General features: G+C 38.3%; 1 long non-coding RNA gene across 5 annotated transcripts in view; it reads left to right on the top strand.

Annotated features, from left to right (window-relative positions):
* LOC101927745 (uncharacterized) overlaps positions 1–22,184 on the top strand; it is a 75,707-nt gene that overhangs the window by 32,235 nt on the left and 21,288 nt on the right. For 2 of the 5 annotated variants that reach the window (NR_188235.1, NR_188236.1), the window contains exons 3-6: positions 11,873–11,924; positions 16,925–16,959; positions 17,293–17,422; positions 21,804–21,844. This is a non-coding gene — a long non-coding RNA (uncharacterized LOC101927745). Of the gene's footprint in view, positions 1–11,872; positions 11,925–16,924; positions 16,960–17,292; positions 17,423–17,915; positions 17,950–21,803; positions 21,845–22,184 lie in introns of all 5 variants that reach the window. The other 3 variants (NR_188234.1, NR_188237.1, NR_188238.1) reach the window with 3 other exon arrangements.

The raw sequence follows: 22,184 nt of genomic DNA, 5'->3' as shown, positions 1-22,184 counted from the left end.
AGTCCCGGGAAATTCATGATCTTGCCAACTGTGCCGAATTCTTTCCCATACAAACACAAACTGCTTTTTTTACCACTTCACTGCAACACAGAGAAGATTTTAATATAATGTATTACAATAGGATATATTACAATGGTAATACACACACACACACACACACACACACATATATATATGAAAACTACTCATTCAGGGAAAACACCACAATTCTGTTGTATTAGTCTGTTCTCACACTGCTAGTAAAGACGTACCCAATAGTGGGTAATTTATGAAGGAAAGAAGTTTAATTAACTCACAGTTTGGCATGGCTGGGTAGGCCTCAGTAAACTTACAATCATGGCAGAAGGGGAAGCAAACACGTCCTTCTTCACATGATGGCAGGAAGGAGAAGAATGAGTGCCCAGCAAAGGGGGAAGGCCTTATAAAATCATCAGGTCTCATGAGAACTAACTCACTATCGGGAGAACAGGATGGGAGAAACCACCCCTGTGATTCAATTATCTCCACCTGGTCCCTCCTGCAACATGTGGCGATTATGAGAACTACAATTCAAGATGAGATTTGGGTGGGGACGCAGCCAAGCCTTATCATCTGTCTTGGTAGATTGTTGATTTGAGCTCAAAGGGAAGGTCAAAAGAAAGTGAGATCTGAAGCCTGTTGGAAAGATCTGGAATACATGTTCCACTCGGCTTTTTCCTTTGTTCTACTTGTAGCAGTGTGACTGTCCACCCATCTCAGGAATCTGCAGGACCCTGCTCTTGCCTCTTTTTTTTTAAAATGTGAAATTTCTTTTCATTGTAAACTTTGAAGACAGAAAAAGTGAATTCCCCTTACTTCTCCCCAATCTCCTTCCACATGGATATTTTCTATTACTAAATCCTTGTGTATTTCTCAAGGTCTTTTAATAAACACGTTAGTACATTACAACTCAGCTTTTTAATCAGTAAACCTCTATACAACTAATATTTTTTGAGCACTTAAAGGCTATGGGTTAGGCACAGGGGATATGGAAAGATTAAGTCATAATATATTGAAGACTTTTGCCAGGAATTTTGCTGAGGGGTTCATTTTTGGTATTGTATTTAATCTGCACAACAACCCCCAAAAATGTACTACCATATCAATGAGAAAACTGAAACTCAGAGAAGCTGAGTAATTTCCCAAAGGTCACACAGATGATAGAACGCAGAGCCCAGATTCAAACAGAGGGGTGGCTGTCTAGAGTACCTAGTCTTAAACACACAGCACAGCAATATACTAAAATAATTGTCAGCCTTTTGTCCACTCTGTAAGTCCCTCTTCTCAGGACTTTACATAGATTGGCTTATTTAGTGTTCATGGGAACCTGAATGCAGGTTATTATGCCCATTTTACAGATGAAGATACTGAGGCGCGATGAGGTTAATTACCATATCAAGATTATGCTAGTTACAAGTGCAGAGCTGGGATTGGAATTTCTACAGTCTGGTTCCATAGCTGCTTCTCCTGACTCCCATATTATGATGTCTTTTCTAATGTTATGTGCATAGATGCATACTCATGCTTGAGTACTCTGCAGCTCTTAATTACGTTTGCTTAGAGTTTTTAACAACATTGAAAAATGCTTAGTTATAATGTAACAAAAAATAGACAATTGCATATATGGTATGATTCTAATTATATCAACTATATATAGCAGAAAAAATTTGTGAGAAATTAATTGGTTTTGGTTCCTCCTGATATAGAGTTTTTTTTGTTGTTATTATTTCAAGAAAGTCACCCATTCTCTGTGTTTCCATATCTCATTGGAGACTTTCACATCTCTTTGTTCTACTTGTAACAGTGTGACTGTCCACCCAACCCAGGACTCTCTTTTATCTCTTTTTTTAGGTTTAATTATTTTTAAAATTGTATTATGCCTATAATAAAATTATATTAATAAAATTGTTATAGGCATAATAATAATGGGAAGGTCCAAAGCAGAAGTTTCCTGACACTCCACAGATGCCATGCTCACCTCCACCCCAGCTTCCTAGAAAAGGTTGTGCTAAGTGGGGATATGGAGGGATGGCTGAGAGGCAAGTGTTTCTAGAGTGAAAAAGCAGAAACAGGGGAATTAGCAATGGAGAGATGAGGAGCTTCTCCCATCACTGGGAAGTGGTTGAGACTCTTTTTCCCCCTCAGTTTCCTTCTACATGGTGACAGCCAGCCTACTAGTAATAGAACTTTTGGAGGAATAGTGCAATTGTGTGGTGCCCTTTCATAGGTTTGGGGGAAAAATGGTAGAATATTAAAACTCATGGACTGGGAGCCCATATCAAAGGTTCCTACACCTGGCTTAAAAAAGTTGGAGAACTGTGGTGGCCAGTGTGGAATGGAGAACCACACTCTTTTTCAGAATTCAACTGCAGAAAACCACACACGACTCTTTTGAAAGACACCCTGCCTACCCAATCTCCATCCAAGATAGGAGTTAATAATTACTGGGATTTTCCTCCAACTCAGCTGGTGAGGACTACAATTTAATTTGATTTAAAAACAGAAGGAATGTGACATTCCACATAGAGAAAAGACACAAGAAAATCCCAACAGTTGTCTTCAGGTAGTAGAATCGTGGGTGATTTTTTTTTCTTTATAATTTCATATATTTTTAAGTTTTCTATGATTCTCACTTTCTACTTACAAAATCATAAAACCAATTACTTTATTTAAACTCTTATTAGTTATATCACTTCCCCATCCATCTGGCTTAGTTACGCTTTATTTTCATCTAGACATTTTTACACTGCAAATGTTTGTTACAAGTAGGACAGCTATGATTTTTCTCTAGAATCCAATCCTAGAATTTGCATTTAGATATATGTAAATTAAAACAATTTAGGCCAACATCATTCTATATCCTACTTTTAAAAGAATTTTTGAAAACTAGAGGGGTTTCATCTTTTTGCTCCCTGCCATCCTTTAAATTCAGGATCAGGAACATAACAGGTAGCATGGGCCAAGACAGAGTCATGGAGGAATGAAGCCACACCTTGAACAATGCTCCTCCAAATGGTGATTTTTGGCAACTAATTCAAACATAAAAAATGGAATGTGGGCCAAATGTATAGGCCTAGAAGAGAACCTCATGAGCTGCTTGCAGAGTAACAGCAACCACTTTGCAGTTTCTGCTTGAGCCAGTCACTGGTTTACAGTTGTAGTTATTCACTTCAATTAGATGTGAACTGATACCAAAAATAGATGTACTGTGTCAGGTTACTTTATCCCAGACTGTAGCCAAGTGTACTATAATCCTACATAAAACCTAGTACTCTTTAAAGACCATCTCGAGACAGATCTGTCCTTAAACAGTCCCCCAAGGCTTTAGCACCAGGGCTGTTAATTTCAGGTACAATTCCTAGGTATTCCCTGTTTGTCTCAAACATGTGAGACTTTCAGAGGAATTCCAGTTGCTTGATAGTAATTTTTTCTGTGTCCCATAGTCCCGCTTGTAATTTGCATTCCAGTTTTTTGCAAGAACTGAGCTTTTCCTCAAGGCATTCCACTGTGTTTTTGAGTTTGTTGTCCCATTGTAACGTGGGCTAAGTAAATGCAGACTGGGTCCTAACCCTCAGTCTTGTATGATGTCTTTGAGCCCATTTGCCAGCCTTCCTCATGTTTCCCAGCACCCCATAGGGGTATGTTCAGATAAATGCTTGCTACTTATGGCTTTAGATCTGAACCACCTTTCTTGGCCCATCCCTGCTAAAATATATACTCTTTGGGTCATCATTTCCTCCTAACCCATCTTTCCAAGCAATGGAAGAATACATCATCTTACCATCTTCCTTACTCTCCAACAAATTAACTTTTTGCATCTTCATTCTTCACCACTCATATAATAAAGTTCCATAAACGTTTATTGAGTAACCAACCACCTTATGTTGACCCTATTTCAGGTACACAAAGGTGAGTAAAATGAGATGTTTGCCTATCAGGAAGCTATACTTTAGTGGGTTTATTTTTTCCTAGGGCTGCCGTAACCAAATGCATGACTTAGAACAACATAAATGTATTGTCTCATAGTTTCGATGGTTTAAAGTCTGAAACCAAAATCAAGGTGTTGGTTGGGTTGGTTTCTTCTAAAAGCTGTGAGGGAGAATCTGTTGCAGGCCTCTTGTAGCTTCTGGTACTCTCAGGCTATAACCTCAGTGCCTGTAGCCTCAGGCACTCTCTGGCTTGCAGACAGTGTTCTCCCTGCACCCTGAGTCTTCACAATGTCTTCTCTGTATGAGCATCTGTGTCCAAATTTCCCCATTCAGGGCCCACCTTACACCAGTATGACCTCATCTTAACTAATTACATCTGCAACATCCCTGTTTCCAAATAAGGTCATATTCTGAGGTACTGGGGGTTAATCCCAAAATATGAACTTTAGGGGAACTCACTTCAACCCACAACAGTAGACAAAAATGCATACACATGTGATTAACTGGAATAAAATATGAAAAGCTGAATACTAATGATAAGCACTAAATGCCAGCAAAGCACAAAGAAGGAGTGTTACATTGTGATTAGGGTAGACTGGGCAGAGATTGCAAAATGAAGCACTCATTCAAACAGCACTGTCAAGGATTCTCCTGGTGTGGCTGCCTGGAGTAGAGAAGAATGTCCGGCTGTTGCCGAGCATGTAAAAGCCTTCCCCTTCTCTGGGCTCTTTAGCGCACACCTTTGACCCATGTCTGAGTCCACCACAGAGGAAATGGTCTCCCCACAGCATGAGCTATTCATCTAATATCCGAGTATCAGAGTCTACTGTACTTATCAGATTTATTAGATAAAATCACCTGAGGGCGGAAGTACCAATAAGTATGAGTAATTAAAACACTGAGCAGCAATATTATTAAAGGTATATTAAAATCAATGACATCCATTTGAAAAGATATATTTCACACCCTGTCCTCCACAGTGGGAGATGTGGCTGAGCAGAAACAGGTCAAGCAGGGAGTATTGTTAATGAAAGTCCTCGTGGAAAAGGCTGCCTGAGACAAAATGAGTTAAAATCTTTATTGTGTCTTGACAGCCCACATGAATCTATGATGATGATAAATGTTCTCATTTAGAACTTTTTCTTTTCCTGAGATATTTTACATGTTATCTCCAATTTGCTTTGAATTTCTCAAAAGACATATGTTCACAGAAGAAAGTCTCTGCTTGCTTTTCATTAAGTAAGATCTTATCAGGCTGTTTGCATGTGGCATCACGTTTGAACTATTAATCTTATGACAGGATATTAAAAAGGGGGGAGGGGAATTCCTTAACAGGTTGAAGGCCATTACACTTGAGAAACAGCCCTCAGCACCCAGGAACAAGAACCAGCCCAGGAATTGCAACTGCAATGACTAATAAGACTTTCCTGAAGCCAACACTCTAGGCAAAAAGGTTGCTTCTTAGGAGGGTGTACCCTGGACAGAGGAAGCTAAAATGACTTGTGTGCCGCTTGGCTGGACTGTGGTGCTGCTGGATCATTGACCTGCAGGATCTTGGTGGGGCGCCAGGGAGTGATTGTTAATCAGATTGGTGTCAAGCGATTGTTAACTCTCAGTGACGTTAAGGCTTCTCTGGAATTGAGGCACAAACCAGTAAGGCAAAACACAGATCTAGAGTAAAAAGAAAAATAATAATTCTGTATCCCTACTATGGCAAGTCTATAAAGTACAGAAACACACTAGTGTACACTCAAGCACACACACAAAGAGAGACACAAAAGCAACACTCTAAGAAACCAATAGGAAACTGGCTTAAGAGAAGGCTTTGGGGATAAGTGAGGTCTTCATGACTTTCTGGGCCATACGGCTGGGACAAGACTTTCACATTTGTCCCAACAGTAGTGAGAATCTTTGATGCATTTTAAGCAAAGAAAATACACAACCAGAATTGTATTTTTCAAAGGTTATTTTGACAGTGGTATGGATAATCCATTTAAAATACGGCTAGAGAAAGTCAGAATGCTATAGAAGTCTAGGTGACCACCTTCGCCTATGGCTGGCCTGTGGAAATGATGAAAGTATATAAATTCCAGGAGAGTTTTGAAGTTCAAATTAAAGAACTTGATGATGGCTTAAATACCAGGAATGGGAAAGAGGAGGATATCAAGGGAGATTTCCAGTTTTCTGGGTCTACAACCAGACCAATGGCAGGGAATGAGGCAGAAATGGGGATAGCAGACATGGTGGGGCAGGTCATGAGTTGGATTTTGGACATATTATGTTTGCAATGCCTATGAAGTATCTAAGTAGGGATGTTAAGTTGTTTATTTCCATCTAATGGTTATTAAATGCCATAAAGTAGCCTGATATGTGATCTACTGAATACTGTCTAGATAACTCTCATTCATTTTTCTAAGTCTTTAATTTAAAAAAAATTTGAAATATTTTTGCACTTGAATAAAATAGAAAATCGTAGTATTATTGCAAATTTATAAATTAAGTTGACTCAAAATATCCTGAGCTGCTTTCTCTCTTTTCTATCCAGGAAAAGTGTTGTCATTTGAACGTCAAGGGTTTCTCAGACCACCAGAAAAGGTAGCCAAACCAGGCCAGTGTTGACGAAGGCCTAAGAAAAATTAGGTTTATCATCAGTAGAGAATATGTGTGTTCTTGCTATATGTTAACTAGTTTTTTTTCTCTTCTTCTCCAGATTATCTCCTTTTGATATCTCTGCTTAGAGGAATACAGAATGTGGCCACATGTTACTCTTCTACCAATGTCAGGATAAAGCATGCATTAGGATCCCTCAGTGGAGAACTATGTCCATTCCATGCTCCTTCCAACTAGTTTGAGAAATGGCTCCAAATTTTCCTTAATATTATTCTGAATTGCTCTATGAAGTAAATGTCAGGCATTTTATTTCCATTTCCCTAAAATAGAGAATGGGTTGCTAGGGAAAATGCCTAAGCCAGCCATAAAGCATTTCCAAAGGGAGGACATAGTGAATAAAAAATGTTAATTCCTGTCTTGTTTAACAAGCTCTCATGGCAGCTCCAAGGGGTAGTAAAATTTATACTCCTACCAGGACAGCTCTAGACTATGGCATCAGCATGGGATGGAAAGTAGCCCTGGGAAACAGAATAGTGTGGTTGCCTGCTACCCTTTACTTATCTGAATAGTTTGTCTCTGCTGTGCCCAGGAGGTTTGCACCTCATGGGGTGGGAGGTGGTGCAATCAGGTAAGAATGCTCTTTACTTACTCCTTTGTCGGAAAAAGGATGACTGTAATGTGTGGGCTGGAGTGGAGTGGAACTGAGTTTAAAATCTGCAGTAACATAAAATTAAAGACTAGGTATTAACAATGGCTTTGCACTCTGAGTTGCCATGGGCTGAGAGGGACAGCTGGACAGCCAGAGGGATTCCAGAGGGACTTGGCAGGACAGAGCAGTGTAAGCCATCTTACTGCCTCGAAAAACACAGGTAGGAGCACATCAGACTTCAGTAACACAGGATTTATCTCAGTATCCATTTTTTCTGATTCTCAGTTTTCTTATCCATAAAATAGATTAAATAATATATGCTTTGTGAGGTTCTTGTGAAGATTAAATGAGATGAAAAATGCAAAGTGCTGGAGGAACACCTGCAGGAGCTCTATCCATGAAAAACTGTTGGCCGGGCACGGTGGCTCACGCCTGTAATCCCAGCACTCTGGGAGGCCGAGGCGGGTGGATCACCTGAGGTAGGGAGTTAGAGACCAGCCTGGCCAACATGGGGAAACCCCGTCTCTACTAAAAATAAAAATATCAGCCAGACGTGGTTGCGGGCGCCTGTAATCCCAGCTACTTGGGAGGCTGAGTAACAAGAATTGCTTGAACCCGGGAGGCGGACGTTGTAGTGAGCCAAGATCGCGCCACTGCACTCCTGCCTGGGTGACAAGAGCTAGACTCCATGTCACCCAAAAAAAAAAAAAAAAAAAAAAAGAAAAACTGTTATTATTATTGACAAAATAAAAGTAAAGGCTGCATTCGAGACTGTTAAGAAATTGTCACAGAAAATATTTTTATTAGTCATTGTACAGATAAAGAAAATGATTCTCATATAAAGAAAATTTTCTATTTAAACTTTTTATTTAAATTTAAATGTTCTAGTTAAAATGAAAAAATTACGATGCTTCTGCCTTTTATGATGAGAGATAAGAAGTCATGTTAGTAGAAGAATAAATCAAAATATTCCCTTACCTGCAAAAAACTGATGAGTGTACAAGCCACACTTAAGAATTTGTGATCGGCCGGGCGCGGTGGCTCACGCCTGTAATCCCAGCACTTTGGGAGGCCGAGGCGGGCGGATCACGAGGTCAGGAGATCGAGACCATCCTGGCTAACACGGTGAAACCCCGTCTCTACTAAAAATACAAAAAATTAGCAGGGCGTGGTAGCGGGCGCCTGTAGTCCCAGCTACTCGGGAGGCTGAGGCAGGAGAATGGCGTGAACCCGGGAGGCGGAGCTTGCAGTGAGCCGAGATCGCGCCACTGCACTCCAGCCTGGGCGACAGAGCGAGACTCCGTCTCAAAAAAAAAAAAAAAAAAAGAATTTGTGATCATGTTTAAGGAAAGATGACAATATGAAGACCTTGAATACTGCCTTAGTTTTGCAAAAGACCTTGCTAGGCCTTCCTGTTTAGGTCAAGAAAAGTCCCCAGAGAAGGTCTTAAGGAAGAAGAAAGAGGTTAAGAAAACTGGACATAACCTGAGCCAAAATTTTGACATGGATATATCCTCATAGAACAAGACAAAATACTGTAAGCAGGGTGGATGGCTCTGTGTGATGGTCTTGGTTGCATACTCCCCTTCACTAAGGTCAAACAAAACCCAAAAGTCTCTTGTAAACACCTCTCATTTTCATTGTCCATGTGGAGAAGCTCAAAGCTTTCATTTGGCCCAAGTGACATCCTAACCACTTTACAGCCTGTTCAGGTCCACTTTATAATATTGCACACGTTGGAAATGAAACTGGCGCTTATGACTCCCAGAAGTATAAATTTTAATGAAGATTCTAAAAACTTTATCTTGGCCCTGTGATGGTGCAGATTGAAAAAAATTTCCATTTCTGACATGTCTATAATGAACTTCATTGCTGCTTTTTAAAAATTTTTCCTTTTGATAAGAAATTAAAGACTGATTTCCTCTCTACAAAAGAAAATGCCACTTTATTCCCCATACACACCCTCTCTCTTAGTAAAACAACTCTGATTTTTATAGCTGGGCATCTTGCCACCCAGTTAAAGATGTATTCCCTTGCAGCTAAATAAGGCCAAGTGACTATGCTCTTGCCAATAATATGTAAACTGAAGTGTAGCAAGGTACTTTTGGGAAGTCTCTTTAAAAAGCATCATTTCTTTTGTATTTGTCCCTTCATCTTCCTGCTACTCAAGATGTGCATATAATGGCAGGCACTTCTGTAGGCATTTTGGATCATGAAATGTCTTTGATGGAAACTAAGAAAAGTAGAGAAACAGAATTGAAGGTTTCACAATTCTAAAACCTTTGTAAAAGTTTTGTAAAAGGTTTTACAATTGAAGGTAATTAATATTACACTATTAATTATAGTAAAGGTCATGCTTCTGTGGAAAAAAAAAAGAGTCCCTTGACATGATGGTTCAAACAAGTTAGGAAAGGCAGACTGTGCTTCTCAAAATCAGCCAGAGAATCAGACTGGCTGAGCACACTGCCATCCTCAATGCATGGCTTCTAGATTGCTTTAGCCTTTATCATTTGAAGCCAATAGGAAGCAAGGAGAACATCAAAGCACATAATTAATGACCGAAAGCATCCATCACTTCTGCTCAAATCATTTTGGGAATGTCATAGTCTTCTTGATCACACTTGAATGCTGGGGAAGCTAAGCAGTGTAGTACAACTGGACAATCAGTTCCTGTGTCCAAGAACTTTTTAAAGACAGTAGGGTAGAATGCTTACTTGTAATCAAAAAGCAGTCTCCACCAAAACTGTAGGTCTTCATATTCTATCCAGATGGTAAAAAGTTAACTTTTCTCTTGTTTAGCTTACTACACGCCGGGCCTTTATTATTTATAGTTGAACATCATCTTCATTGATATACCCCTTTTATGTTTTTTCAATGAACCTCATCTGTAAATCATTAACTGGATTATTAGATAAGTGCTAAATAATCCCCAGCTGTAAAATTCTAAGAATAATTAAAACTTCCTTTCTTAACATTCTTAGTGAACAACTTACAGGTTAAAAAACAAACCCAAAGAGATTATTTCCTGCAAAGAGCCTTTAGTATGGTAGCACCTACTTCTAGAAGGCCTGTCATAAACTGTCATCTAGTGAAAGTGATGAAGAAGAGTGGCTGGGAGTCAATCTTATCAGGAGCTGGAACAGGTGAAGCCCTCACCAGTGAAAAATCTTGACAGATGCAGCTACTAAGATTTCCTACTACAAAGAATAACAGCAGTTAGAAAAGCAGGTTAGAGAGTTTTTTTTGTTCAACAATACTTCATTATCTTACTTATCCCAATAAAATTTACTCCCATAGGATAAGAGACTTATATTTGTTGGAATACTTTTACCTTTGGAGGTGACTGGCAACTTACATCAAAAAGACTTAAGTAATGTATGACATATATCTAGAGTTATATTTGTTTGAAGAGAGAGAGCAAGTTGTTTAGATAAGAGCTTGATTCCTTGTTCAAATGATGTCAACAGATTCATTTCTTGGTTTTGCTTCTGAGTTGGCTCCATTTATAGGTGAGCCAGATTTAGGCCCCCAGCAGCACAAAAGAGAGAGTTTGCTTCCCCATTCAATAGTCCCAGAATTGTGCCTCATTGTTCTGATTGCACAGACTTGGCTTATATCCCTGACATGAACCCAAACACGATGACCAGGCAGTGAAACAAGCAGGTTGACTTAACCTTGGTCGTACACCAAACCCTCGTAGATTGAGAGAGAGTTAGCCTCATGCTAAGCACATAAGCTGAATGTGGGGAAGTCAGCACACTGTGTTCCAAAAACAGAGAATAGATAATGAGTGTCAAGGACAACAGATGAAACCTCCGTGTATTATCTTTGTTTTGTCCAAAATGTAAAACCTCAAAGGGAGACAGTTCAAGGTCTCATTTAATTAATGTATCCATCTTCAAGTCTAAACTCTCTGAGGGATGTGCACCCAGTGAGATTAGGATACAGGTCCCCATGGTTCACTGATCCATGGCTAGTAAGTTTAACCATCCCTACATACCCACTGTGCAATGGGGAGGAAGGACCCAGTACCTATAACCAAAACACATATAGAAAGGATGAGGGGGAGTGGAAAACAATGCACAATGAATCCTACTTCATAGTACACACCTATCCCATGGGCAGGAAAAGCAATGACTCACTGCTCTGGCCAGACAAAGTCCAATGTGGCTGACCTTGGCTCTGACCTCTTAAATCATTGCCCATTTCCATTTATTTCCCCATAGCTCCTGGTTCTCGTCTGTGGAAGGATCCCCCCTTGAGTATTGTCCTACTTAAGAGCTGGGTACTGAGGATGATGTCCTTTCAGGGAGCTGCACCTTTTTTGAAGCCCACTTCATTTTGGTGTATGTCAGGAGCCCTGATAATTATTTTAGACGTTGACCAGAAACCTTTGGTGACTTATCTCCTCTTCTCAGAAATTTCACATTCTAGGTTCAAGAGTTTCTAATACAACATTCCAGAAGTTAATTTTAATACATGTAGTGCCCTTTTACTTGAAAAAGATAAAAAGCTCAAATCAATCTGGCTTAAGCAAAAGGGGAATTTTTTGGTGTAGATAACCGAGAAGTCCAGGGATAGCATTGGCTTCAGGTAGAACTTGATTTCAGCTGTGCACAATGCATGGTCTATTGATCTGCTTCCTCTATGTCTATTTCATCCTCAGACTCCCTGTGGTGGCGACCAGTATCTTCAAACTCATACCAGAGTAAAGCCTTGTAAGTTTTGTTTCTCTGAATCAAATCAAGATAATTTTGCTACCAGAAAATAAACCTATTCTAGATAGCATGAAACAAACAAACAAGCAAAACCCACCATACGAATCTAGTTAACGTGTGGACAGAATGGTGGCGATTGCTCATGTTTCCTCACATTCCACATTTGAGAAGAAACCTATCCACATTCCCTGAGATAGAAAATATATAGTTTAGTCTAGCTCTAACCAGCTCAGCAGAGGGTACGGTGCAGGAAAAATATTGCCTAAATAACTTGTATTTATGGCTTTGTTCCTGTGAATACTTTTTGTTCCTGAGAATTTGAAGAAAAAAAATGTACATCAGAGCAGTAAACAATACAATGTCTGAGATGATAATAGCTGTGTAGCACCTCTCTGACATGCTCTGATGGTTAATTTGATATGTCAACATGGCTAGACCATGATACCCAGAAATTTGGTCAAATATTCTTCTGGATGTTGTTTGAAGGTATTATTTTTAGACCACGTTAGCATTTGAGTCAGTAGACTGTGTGTAAAGCAAAGAATCATCTGTAATGTGGGTGGGCCTCATCCTATTAATTGAAGGCCTTAAGAGAAAAAGACTGAGTGAGGTCCCTCTAGGAAGAGGGAATTCCCCTCCCAGACTATATTTGAACATGAAATGTAACATCAGTTCTTCTGTAGGTCTCCAGCCTGCTAATCTACCCTTGCAGATTTTTTGGACTTGCCAGACTCTAAAATCATGTGAGCCAATTCCTTAAAATAAATAATAAATATCTCTCTTTCAGTCTTTCTTTTTCTCTCTCTCTCTCTTTCTCTCTCTCTCTCTCTCTCTCTCTGGGTGTGTCTCCCTCTCTCTCTTTCTTTCTCCCTCTCTCCTTTTCTCTCTCTCTCTTTGTCCCTCTCTCTCTTTGTCCCTCTCTACATATAAAGAAGTAATACACACACACATACACACACACAGAGAGAGAGAGAGAGAGAGAGAGAGAGAGAGATGCCCTCATGACTCGGTTTCTCTGGGGAACCCTAGCACATACACTAATGTAGACGTGGTGCTAATACACTGGGAAGAGCCAATATAGCACTTGTATTAGTTTCCTCTTGCTGCTATAATAAATTACCATAAATTTAGTGGCTCAAAATAGCATACATTTTTATATTGTAGATTTGGAGGTCAAAAGTGTGACACAGGTCTTGGCTAAAATCAAGGTAATAACAAGGCTGCATTCCTCTGGAGGCTTTAGGGGAGAATTCATCTTGTCCAGTTGCCTTTACCGGCTCTTTGCGTTCCTTGGCTCATGACCTTGGCTCACTTCTTCCACCATTGGAGCCAACAGCATAGCATTTTCCAGTCTCTCTCCAACTCTGACTCTCATGCCTTTCTCTAATAAGAGCCCTTGTGATTAGAGTGGATGTACTTGGATAATCCAGGATAATATTTCTCAAAATATAATTATATCTGCAAAGTACCTTTTGCCATGTAAAATGACATATTCAGAGGTTCTATGGATTAAGGCATGAACATCCCGAGGGGGTATATTATTCTGTCTACTGCAGACCTTTATAAAGACTGGTATTTTGTGATACATTCAGTCATACATTCAACAAGTGCTTACTGTATAGTATGAGCTGAGACTTCTTTGTGCTACTCTAGAGGTCAACATATTAGCCAACAGCAAAGAAGATGAGTCTGATTCTTATGCCCGTGGAGCTTACATCTAATAGGACCAGTCAAAAATAGATAAGAAGATCCTATGGTCTGAATGTCTGTGTCCTTCCAAAATTCAGTGTTGAAATTCTAATTCCCAAGATGATAGTATTAGGAGATGAGGACTTGGCAGGGAAGTGCCCTTATGAATGGAATTTGTGTCCTGTAAAAGAGGCCTGGGAAAGCTAGCACTGTAGTCCCTTCTAACATATGAAGTGACAGTGAGAAGACATCCACCTATGAAGAAAGTGGGCCCTCACCAACACCCACCATGCTAGTTCTCTGATCTTGGACTTCTCAGCATTGAGGACTATATGAAACAAATTTCTGATTTTTATAAGCTACCCAGTTTATGGTGTTTTTGTTGTAGCAGCCCAAGTGGATTTAAACAGGAAATAAATGTGTAAATAAGATAATTTCAAATAGTGATAAGAAAGTTGAAAAAACAAAATGTGATGGAGTAACTGGATGTGGGATGAGGTAGCTTCTAAGGTGAAGGCTTCCAAGCTGCCACTTGAATCAGCAGTCTCCATCCATGTGGAGGTCTGTGAGAAGAGCGTTTCAGGCAGAGGAAATACCTGTTGCTCAGGCTTGAGGTTGGGATTAAGGTGATTTTTTTTGTCTTGTTTTGTTTTGTTTTCTGAGATAGAGTCTTACTCTGTCACCCAAGCTGGAGTGCAGTGTTGCCATCTCAGATCACTGCAACCTCTGCCTCCCAGGTTCAAGCAATTCTCATGCCTCAGCCTCCCAAGCAGCTGGGATTACAGACATGCACCACCATGCCTGGCTAATTTTTGTGTTTTTAGTAGAGATCGGGTTTTGCCATGTGGGCCAGGCTGGTCTTGAACTACTAGCCTTAAGAGATCCACCTGCCTCAGCCTCCCAAAGTTCTGGGATTACAGGTAAGAGCCACGGTGCCCGACCATGAATTAGTGTGATGTATTTGAGAAAACGGTCATGCCAGAGCACACTGACCGAGGGAAAGAATGGTACAAGATAGTGTCAGAGAGACAGGCAGAGCCATACCACGTAGGACTTTGTTAAAGGGTTTGGAGACTGTGTTAGTCCATTCTTGCATTACTATAAAGAAATACCTGAGACTGGGTAATTTCTTAACAAAAAGAAAGAAAGAAAAAGAAGGTTTAACTGGCTTACAGCTCTGCAGGCTGTACACACATGGTGCCTGCGTCTGCCCGGCTTCTTGGGAGGTCTCAGGGAGCTTTTACTCATGGTGGAAGGTGAAGCAGGAGCAGGTGTCACACTGCAAAAGCAGGAATAAGAGAGAGAGAAGGGAGAGGTCCCACATGCTTTTAAACAATGAGATCTGTGTCAATGAGAGCTCATGTATCAACAAGAGGATGGCACCAAGCCATTCATGAGGCATCAGCCCCCATGATCCAAACACCTCCCACCAGGCCCCACCTCCAACACTGGAGATTACATTTCAACATGAGATTTCAGGGACAGACATCCAAACTGTATCAGAGAGCCCATTATTTTTCCCCCATGAGATGTTTCTTGGTAGAGAAAAATTTAATAATATTAAGAATCTGCTCACCACATAAACTGTTGATCACCCTTTTCTGGCTAAGGGATATTTGTCAAGAATCCTGCATTCAGGCCTTGTCCCTGAGAGCAGTCTTAAAGTTCCCCCAGAATACTTCCTACCAGACCATCAATTTGTCACAGCTAGTGTGCCTGCAGAATGTAAGCAGTTAGTAAAAATTATTTGAGCTTACATACAAATATCTGGATTTACTGATCATTTCCAAGTGCATTTTGCCATGGGTATGTGGAAATATTCCTGGAATATTCATAGGAAAAAAAGGAAATGAGTTATGTTGTCTCCTAGCCAACAATTTAGTATAGTTTTTTTATCACTACTCAATAAAAACATATAGGTGCTCCCTGCTTCTCCCCCATCACAACATAGCTAGGTTTGAAAAAGATCTATTTTAGGTTTCTTTACTTCACAATAGGAGAAAGTCTGTGTTTCTCAACACTTATAAAGCTGCAAGAAAAAGAGCTGAAAATAAAAGGGAGAATTGCTTTGGTCATTTTGCAGGATAATTCAACTTGAAAAGAATAAATGTTACGACCTTATATTTAAAGTCCAAATAAAAAGAAAAGTGTCCTATGGTGTCTGGGAAGACAGGCCAGAAATCAGGAGCCTAGATAATTAGCAATTTGAGAATCATGGTCAGAAAATAGCAAATTAAACAAAAAGCATTATGGTGGAAAAATAACACGACAAACTAAGGCTGGTTCAATCCTTGATAAATATCTAGTCTTTCTCTCTCTCTCTTTTTCTCTATCTATAGCTCTATCCATATCTGCATTCTCCCTTCCCCATATTTCCATCCATTTTCTTAAATTTATTGCTTATTCTTTCTGTGTTTCTTTTAGCAAACATAAGCAAATATATAGATATTCTTATTACCTTGTCTTTCTTACCAAAAAAATGGAAGCATAGTACCCCGTGTTTGGCTTTTGGTCCACATATCTTTGTAAAAAACCTTTGTATCAGTTGATTTCTTTCTCTCTCTCTCTGTGATTTCACAGTACCTTGTTTCATGGCTCTACAGTGTACTCAGTCTCCCATAAATGGTTATTTGGGCTGTTTTCTATATATTGCTATTATAAATAATGATGCATGTGTAACTTGGTTTTGTTATTTGTGGGAGTGTATCTTCAGACATATTCCTAGAAGTGGATTGTTGCATCAAAGGATAAATGTGTGTGGAGTTTTGTTGGACACTGTCACTTCCCTTCCATAGGGATTGTATCATTTTGCACGTGCACCAGCAATTTGTGAGTGCCTTTTTCTCCAAAGCCTCACTGACAGAGTGGGTTCTTAAGCTTTTTAATTGGTGCCAAACAAGCTAATAGGTAAGAAATTGCATCACACGGTAGCTTTAATTAGCATTTCTTTGAATATGAGTGAAGTTGAGTGCTTTCCCCATGTTTTTTAAATGCCATTTCTTCTGTCAGATTTTGATATTTCCTTCCTTTGACAGTAAAGAATTCTTTATGCATCCAGGAAATTGGCCTTTTATCCATGACACCTCAACTATTTTATCACAGTGTTATTTTCTTTATATTTTACTATGGTTTATTTGTCATGCAATTTGTTTCTATTCAGTAAAATTTACCAATCTTTTTTTTTTGTTATTATTATTGCAACTGGATTTTGAGTCTAATTATGAAGGTTTTCCTCACTCTAAGTTTATAAAAAATGTGCCCATGTTTTCCTCTTGTACATATCTCTCTCATTGTTTATACTTACATTTCAGATCCATTTGGAGTTCTTTCTGATGCATTATGTGAGGTATGAGTACAATTTTCTTTTTTTTTCCAAATGATTATCCAGTTGTGTCAAATTCATTATTAAATGTCCATGTCTGCCTCAGTGATTTGATGTCTTACATATGCTAAGTTTCCACATGCACTTCAGCTTGTTCCTAGGCTCTCTATTGTGTTTCGTTGGTATGTCTGTCTATTATATCCCAGTATCACATTTTAAAAAGAGAACTTAATAGTGTATTTTAATGTCTAGTAGGGCTAGTTCCCCTTTATTCCTCTTCTTCTTAAGGGATTTTCAAGCTATTCTTGCATGTTTATTTTTTTCATTCAATCTTCAAAACAATTTATCTTATTCCAGAAAAACAAGCAAACAAATGAACACTTATTTGTATTTGAATTGCACTAAATTTATACATGAAACTGAAAAAAACTGATATCTTTATGAAGCTGCATAATCCTATCCAAGGACAGACGTCTCCTTCCATTTGGTAAGTCTTTATCAGAAATGCTTTCAAGTTTTCATCATATATGTTTTGCCCATTTCTTGTTAAGTTTATTTCTCAGTATTGGAAGGGAAGGGCAGAATTATAAGAGATTTTTCCTAACATTTTCCAATGATTTATTCTATTTATGGAAATTATTGATTTTTATGTAAATTTTATATCTTGTTGCCATTCTTAAATGTTGTCTTAGTTTTACTTTAGGTCTTGCTCGTTTATATTCTGAACTTAATTAAGGTGCTCTTTGACACATAATATATTATTAAATTTCATAAAATTTTAATGGATGTTGGAAAAATGCATGTTCACTTTTTAAAGTAGAAAATTCAATATATCCATGAACTGGTGCTCAAGAATTCTGCCAGTCAAATTTTCTATGTTAGTTTTGGCAGATTTGATCACAACGTCTGTTGATATTTGTTAATGTTTCCCAACTGAAAAAGTTTTATTTTAAAAAATTTTTCCCCTTTTTTTCTAATAGCTTTTGCTTTACTAATTTGAATCTATGTTATTTGGTAAGTGATAATTTGTACTATATCTTCATTGTGCATTATAATAATCAATTTAAGTCATTCATATATTCCTCAAATTAAGGTTATCATTTTGCTTTATTTTTTCTGTTTCAACAAAGACATTTTTGCTCTTTTTAGGTTAAGTTTTCCTTTTACCTTTTGTTTTACATGTATTTCTTCTAAGGAGACTCTTATTTTTGCGGCTATCGTGTAATTTTACTATATGTTTTGAAATATTATAGAGACCACCAAACTGTTCTCCCAATATATACCTAGTGATTCATACCCCACCAGCAGCCAACGAGAGTTCAGATTGCACCACATTTTCACAAGTCCATAATTTTTGCCCAAATGATGGCTGTAAAATGGATTTACATTGTGGCTTTTTAAAAATTTTTTCTTTTCTTTTATAATTTCAATTTTTAGATTCAGGGGGTACATGTGCAGTTTATGTGATTACACTGCATGATGCTGAGAATGGGGTATGGATCCTGTCACGCAGATAGTGAGTATAATGCCCACAAGGTGGTTTTTCAACCCATGGGTCTTTATGTCCATGAGTACCCAATGTTTAGTTCCTATTTTCTTGTTCTCCACTTCTGCACAATGCTTGTTTAGATACTTACTTGTATTTCCCTTATTAATTTGTAGTTCTCCGAATATTCTGGATGCCAGTCATTTCTTTGTATGTTCACTGGGAATTTTTGTCCCTTTTTTATTTATTGATTTTTTTTGACCAGTTTTTGGTTTCAATTTTAGTTTCTAAATGGTGTCTTATAATGAACAAAAGTATAGTTTAATACAAATAGGTTATTAATCTTTGCTTTCATGACTTGTGCTTTTTTTGTGTCTTATTTAAACATCCTTCTGTGAGTCCCAGCCAGAGCAATCAGTCAAGAGAAAGAAATAAAGATCATCCAAATAGGAAAATAAGTCAAAATATCTCTCTTCACTGACTGTATAATTCTATACCTAGAAAATGTAAAGACTCCACCAAAAGTCTCTTAGAACTAATAAATGACTTCAATAAAGTTTTAGGACACAAAATTAATGTACAAAACTCATTAGCATTTCAATACACTGATAACGTTCAAGCTGAGAGCCAAATCAGGAACACAATCTCATTTACCATATAGCCATGTACAAAAATAAATATCTAGGAATACATCCAACCAAGGAGGTGAAAGATCTCCGCGAGGAGAACTACAAAACACTGCTTAAAAAATCACAGATAACACAAAAAAATGGAAAAACATTTCATGCTCATGGATCGGAAGAATCAATATCTTTAAAATGGCCATACTGCCCAAAGCAATCTGTAGATTCAATGCTAGTGCTATCAAGCTACCAATGTCATTTTTCATAGAACTAGAAAAAAATATACTAAAATTCATATGGAACCAAAAAGGAGTCTGAAAAACCAAAGCAATCTTAAGTAAAAAAGAACAAAGCTGGAAACATAGACAAATGAAACAGAATAGAGAATCCAGAAATAAAGCCACACATGTACAGCCATCTGATCTTCAAGAAAATCAACAAAAATAAGCAATGAGGAAAGGACTTCCTATTCAATAAATAGTACAGGGATAGCTGGCTAGTCATATGCAGGAGAATGAAACCGGACTTCTACCTTTTACCATATAATGAAATTCACTCAAGATGGATTAAATATTTAAATGTAAGACCTCAAAGTATAAGGATCCTGGAAGAAAATCTGGGAAACAGCAGTCCGGACGTTGGCCTTAGGAAAGAATTTATGATTAAGTCCTCAAAAGCAATTGTGAGTCCCTGTCTCTACAAAAAGTGAAAACAATTAGCTAGGCATGGTAGTGCATGCCTGTGGTCCCAGCTACTTGGGAGGCTGAGGTAGGAGGATAACTTGAGCCCAGAAAGTTGAGGCTGTGGTGAGCCATGTTTGCACCATTGCACTCCAGCATGGGCAACAGAGTGAGACCCTCTTTCAAAAAAAAAAAAAGCAATTGACAAGTGGGACTTAATTAAACTAAAGAGCTTCTGCACAGCAAAAGAAACTATCACCAGAGTAAACAGACAATCTACAGAATGGGAGAAAATATTCACAAACTATATATCTAACAAACGTCTAATATCCAGAATCTATAAGGAACTTAATTCAAGAAGCAAAATAACAAATAACTCCATTAAAAATGGGCAAAAGACAGCTGGGCATGGTGGCACATGCCTGTAATCCCAGCACTTTGGGAGGCCAAGGCAGGCAGATTACCTGAGGTCAGGAGTTCGAGACCAACCTGGCCAACATGGTGAAACCCTGTCTCTACTAAAAATACAAAAATTAGCTGGGTGTGGTGGCACACACCTGTAATCCCAGCTACTTGGGAGGCTAAGGCAGGAGAATTGCTTGAGCCCAGGAGACAGAGGTTGCAGTGAGCCAAGATCATGCCACTGCACTCCAGCCCAGCTGACAGAGCAAGACTCTGTCTCAAAAAAAAAAAAAAAAGGGGGCAAAAGATATGAACAGATACTTCTCCAAAGAAGACATGAAAGCAGACAACAGACATATGAAACGTTGCTAATATCACTAATCATCAAAGAAATGCAAATCAAAATTACAATGAGATACCATCTCACACTAGTCAGTTGGCTTTTATTAAAATGTCAAAAACAACATGTCAAGGCTGTGGAGAAAAGGGAACGCTTATACATTATCGATGGAAAGGTAAATTAATTCAGCCACTGTGGAAGGCAATTAGGGAATATCTCAAAGAACTTAAAACAGAACTACCATTTGACCCAACAATCTCATTAATGGGTGTATATTCAAAGAAAATAAATTGTTCTGCCAAACACACATGCACTCGTATGTTCATCACAGCACTATTCACAATAGCAAACACATGGACTCAATCCAGGTGCCCATCAATGGTGTGTTAAAAGAAAACCTTTAGCCAACTTAAATTTAAAAGAGTTTAATTGAGCAAAGAATCATTTGTGAATCAAGAAGCCTGGTGAGCCACAGTAGGCTCAGAGACTAGACTCCAGTGCAGCCACATAGTGGAATAAGATTTATGGACAGAAAAAGGAAAGTGATCTACAGAACATGGAAGTGAGGTACAGAAACGGACTGGTTACAGCTCAGCATTTGCCTTATTTGAACACATTTTGAATAGTTGGCCATCTTTGGTCAAAACTCGGTGATTGGCACAAGAGTAGGTTACAGTCTATTTATAATTCAATTTAGGTTACAGTTTATGATGTACAGAGAAACATTTAGGCTGAACTTAAAATACGTAAGGAGGCAGTTTTAGACTAAACTTGATTTAACAGATGCATTGAATACAGAAAATGTGACATACATACACCATGAAATACCACACAGCCATAAAAAGGAATGAAATCATGTCCTTTGCAGCAACATAGATGCAGCTGGAGGCCATTTTCCTAATCGAATTAATGTAGGAACAGTAAACCAAATACTGCATGTTCTCACTTATAAGAGGAAGCTAAACACTGGGTATTTATGAACATAAAGACGGCAATAATACACACTGGGGACTACTAGAGAGAGGAAGGAGGAAGTGGAGCAAGATTTGAAAAACTATTGATACTATGGTTACTACCTGGTGATGGGATCATTCATGTCCTAACTTCAGCATCATGCAATATACTCATGTAGCAGACTGGCACATGTACCCACAAACCTAAAAATTGAAATCACTTTTAAAACTTATAAATAATAAAAAATGTTTATAGAAAATAGAAACAGAAAAACCCTTCTTTGAGGATTTTGTTTCTTTTCCTTTTTTTGTTCTCTTTGAGGTTTTAAACTAACCTCTATTATTTTCTACTGAGATTTTACACTGTTTCTTTTCACTTTTCAGTTTTGGATACATCTGGAATTGACTTTTTTGCATGGTGTAAGGTAGGTGTAGAATTTAATGTTTCTCTATATGAATAACCAATTTTCCCAACTTATATTTAATAGTCCATACTTCCCATACTGTTCGAAAATGACACCCTGCTTTATTTCAAACTTTCTTTATTTATGGTTCTATTTATGGACTTTCTATCCTGTTGTACTGGCCTCTTTGTCTTTACCTATCTTAAAATTATGAGGCAGTACATTTTATAGCTTTATAATAAACCTTGATATCTGGTGGAAAATTTATGTGAGTTTTCTGGCTATTCTTTGCCTTTCATGTAAATTTTGCAATAAGCTTGTCAGGACATGAAAATCCTTGTTAGGATTTTTACAGTCATCC

This window comes from Homo sapiens, chromosome 21 (assembly GCF_000001405.40).
Source record: "Homo sapiens chromosome 21, GRCh38.p14 Primary Assembly".
NCBI lineage: Eukaryota > Metazoa > Chordata > Mammalia > Primates > Hominidae > Homo > Homo sapiens.
This window is presented reverse-complemented; position numbering and strand designations above follow the sequence as displayed.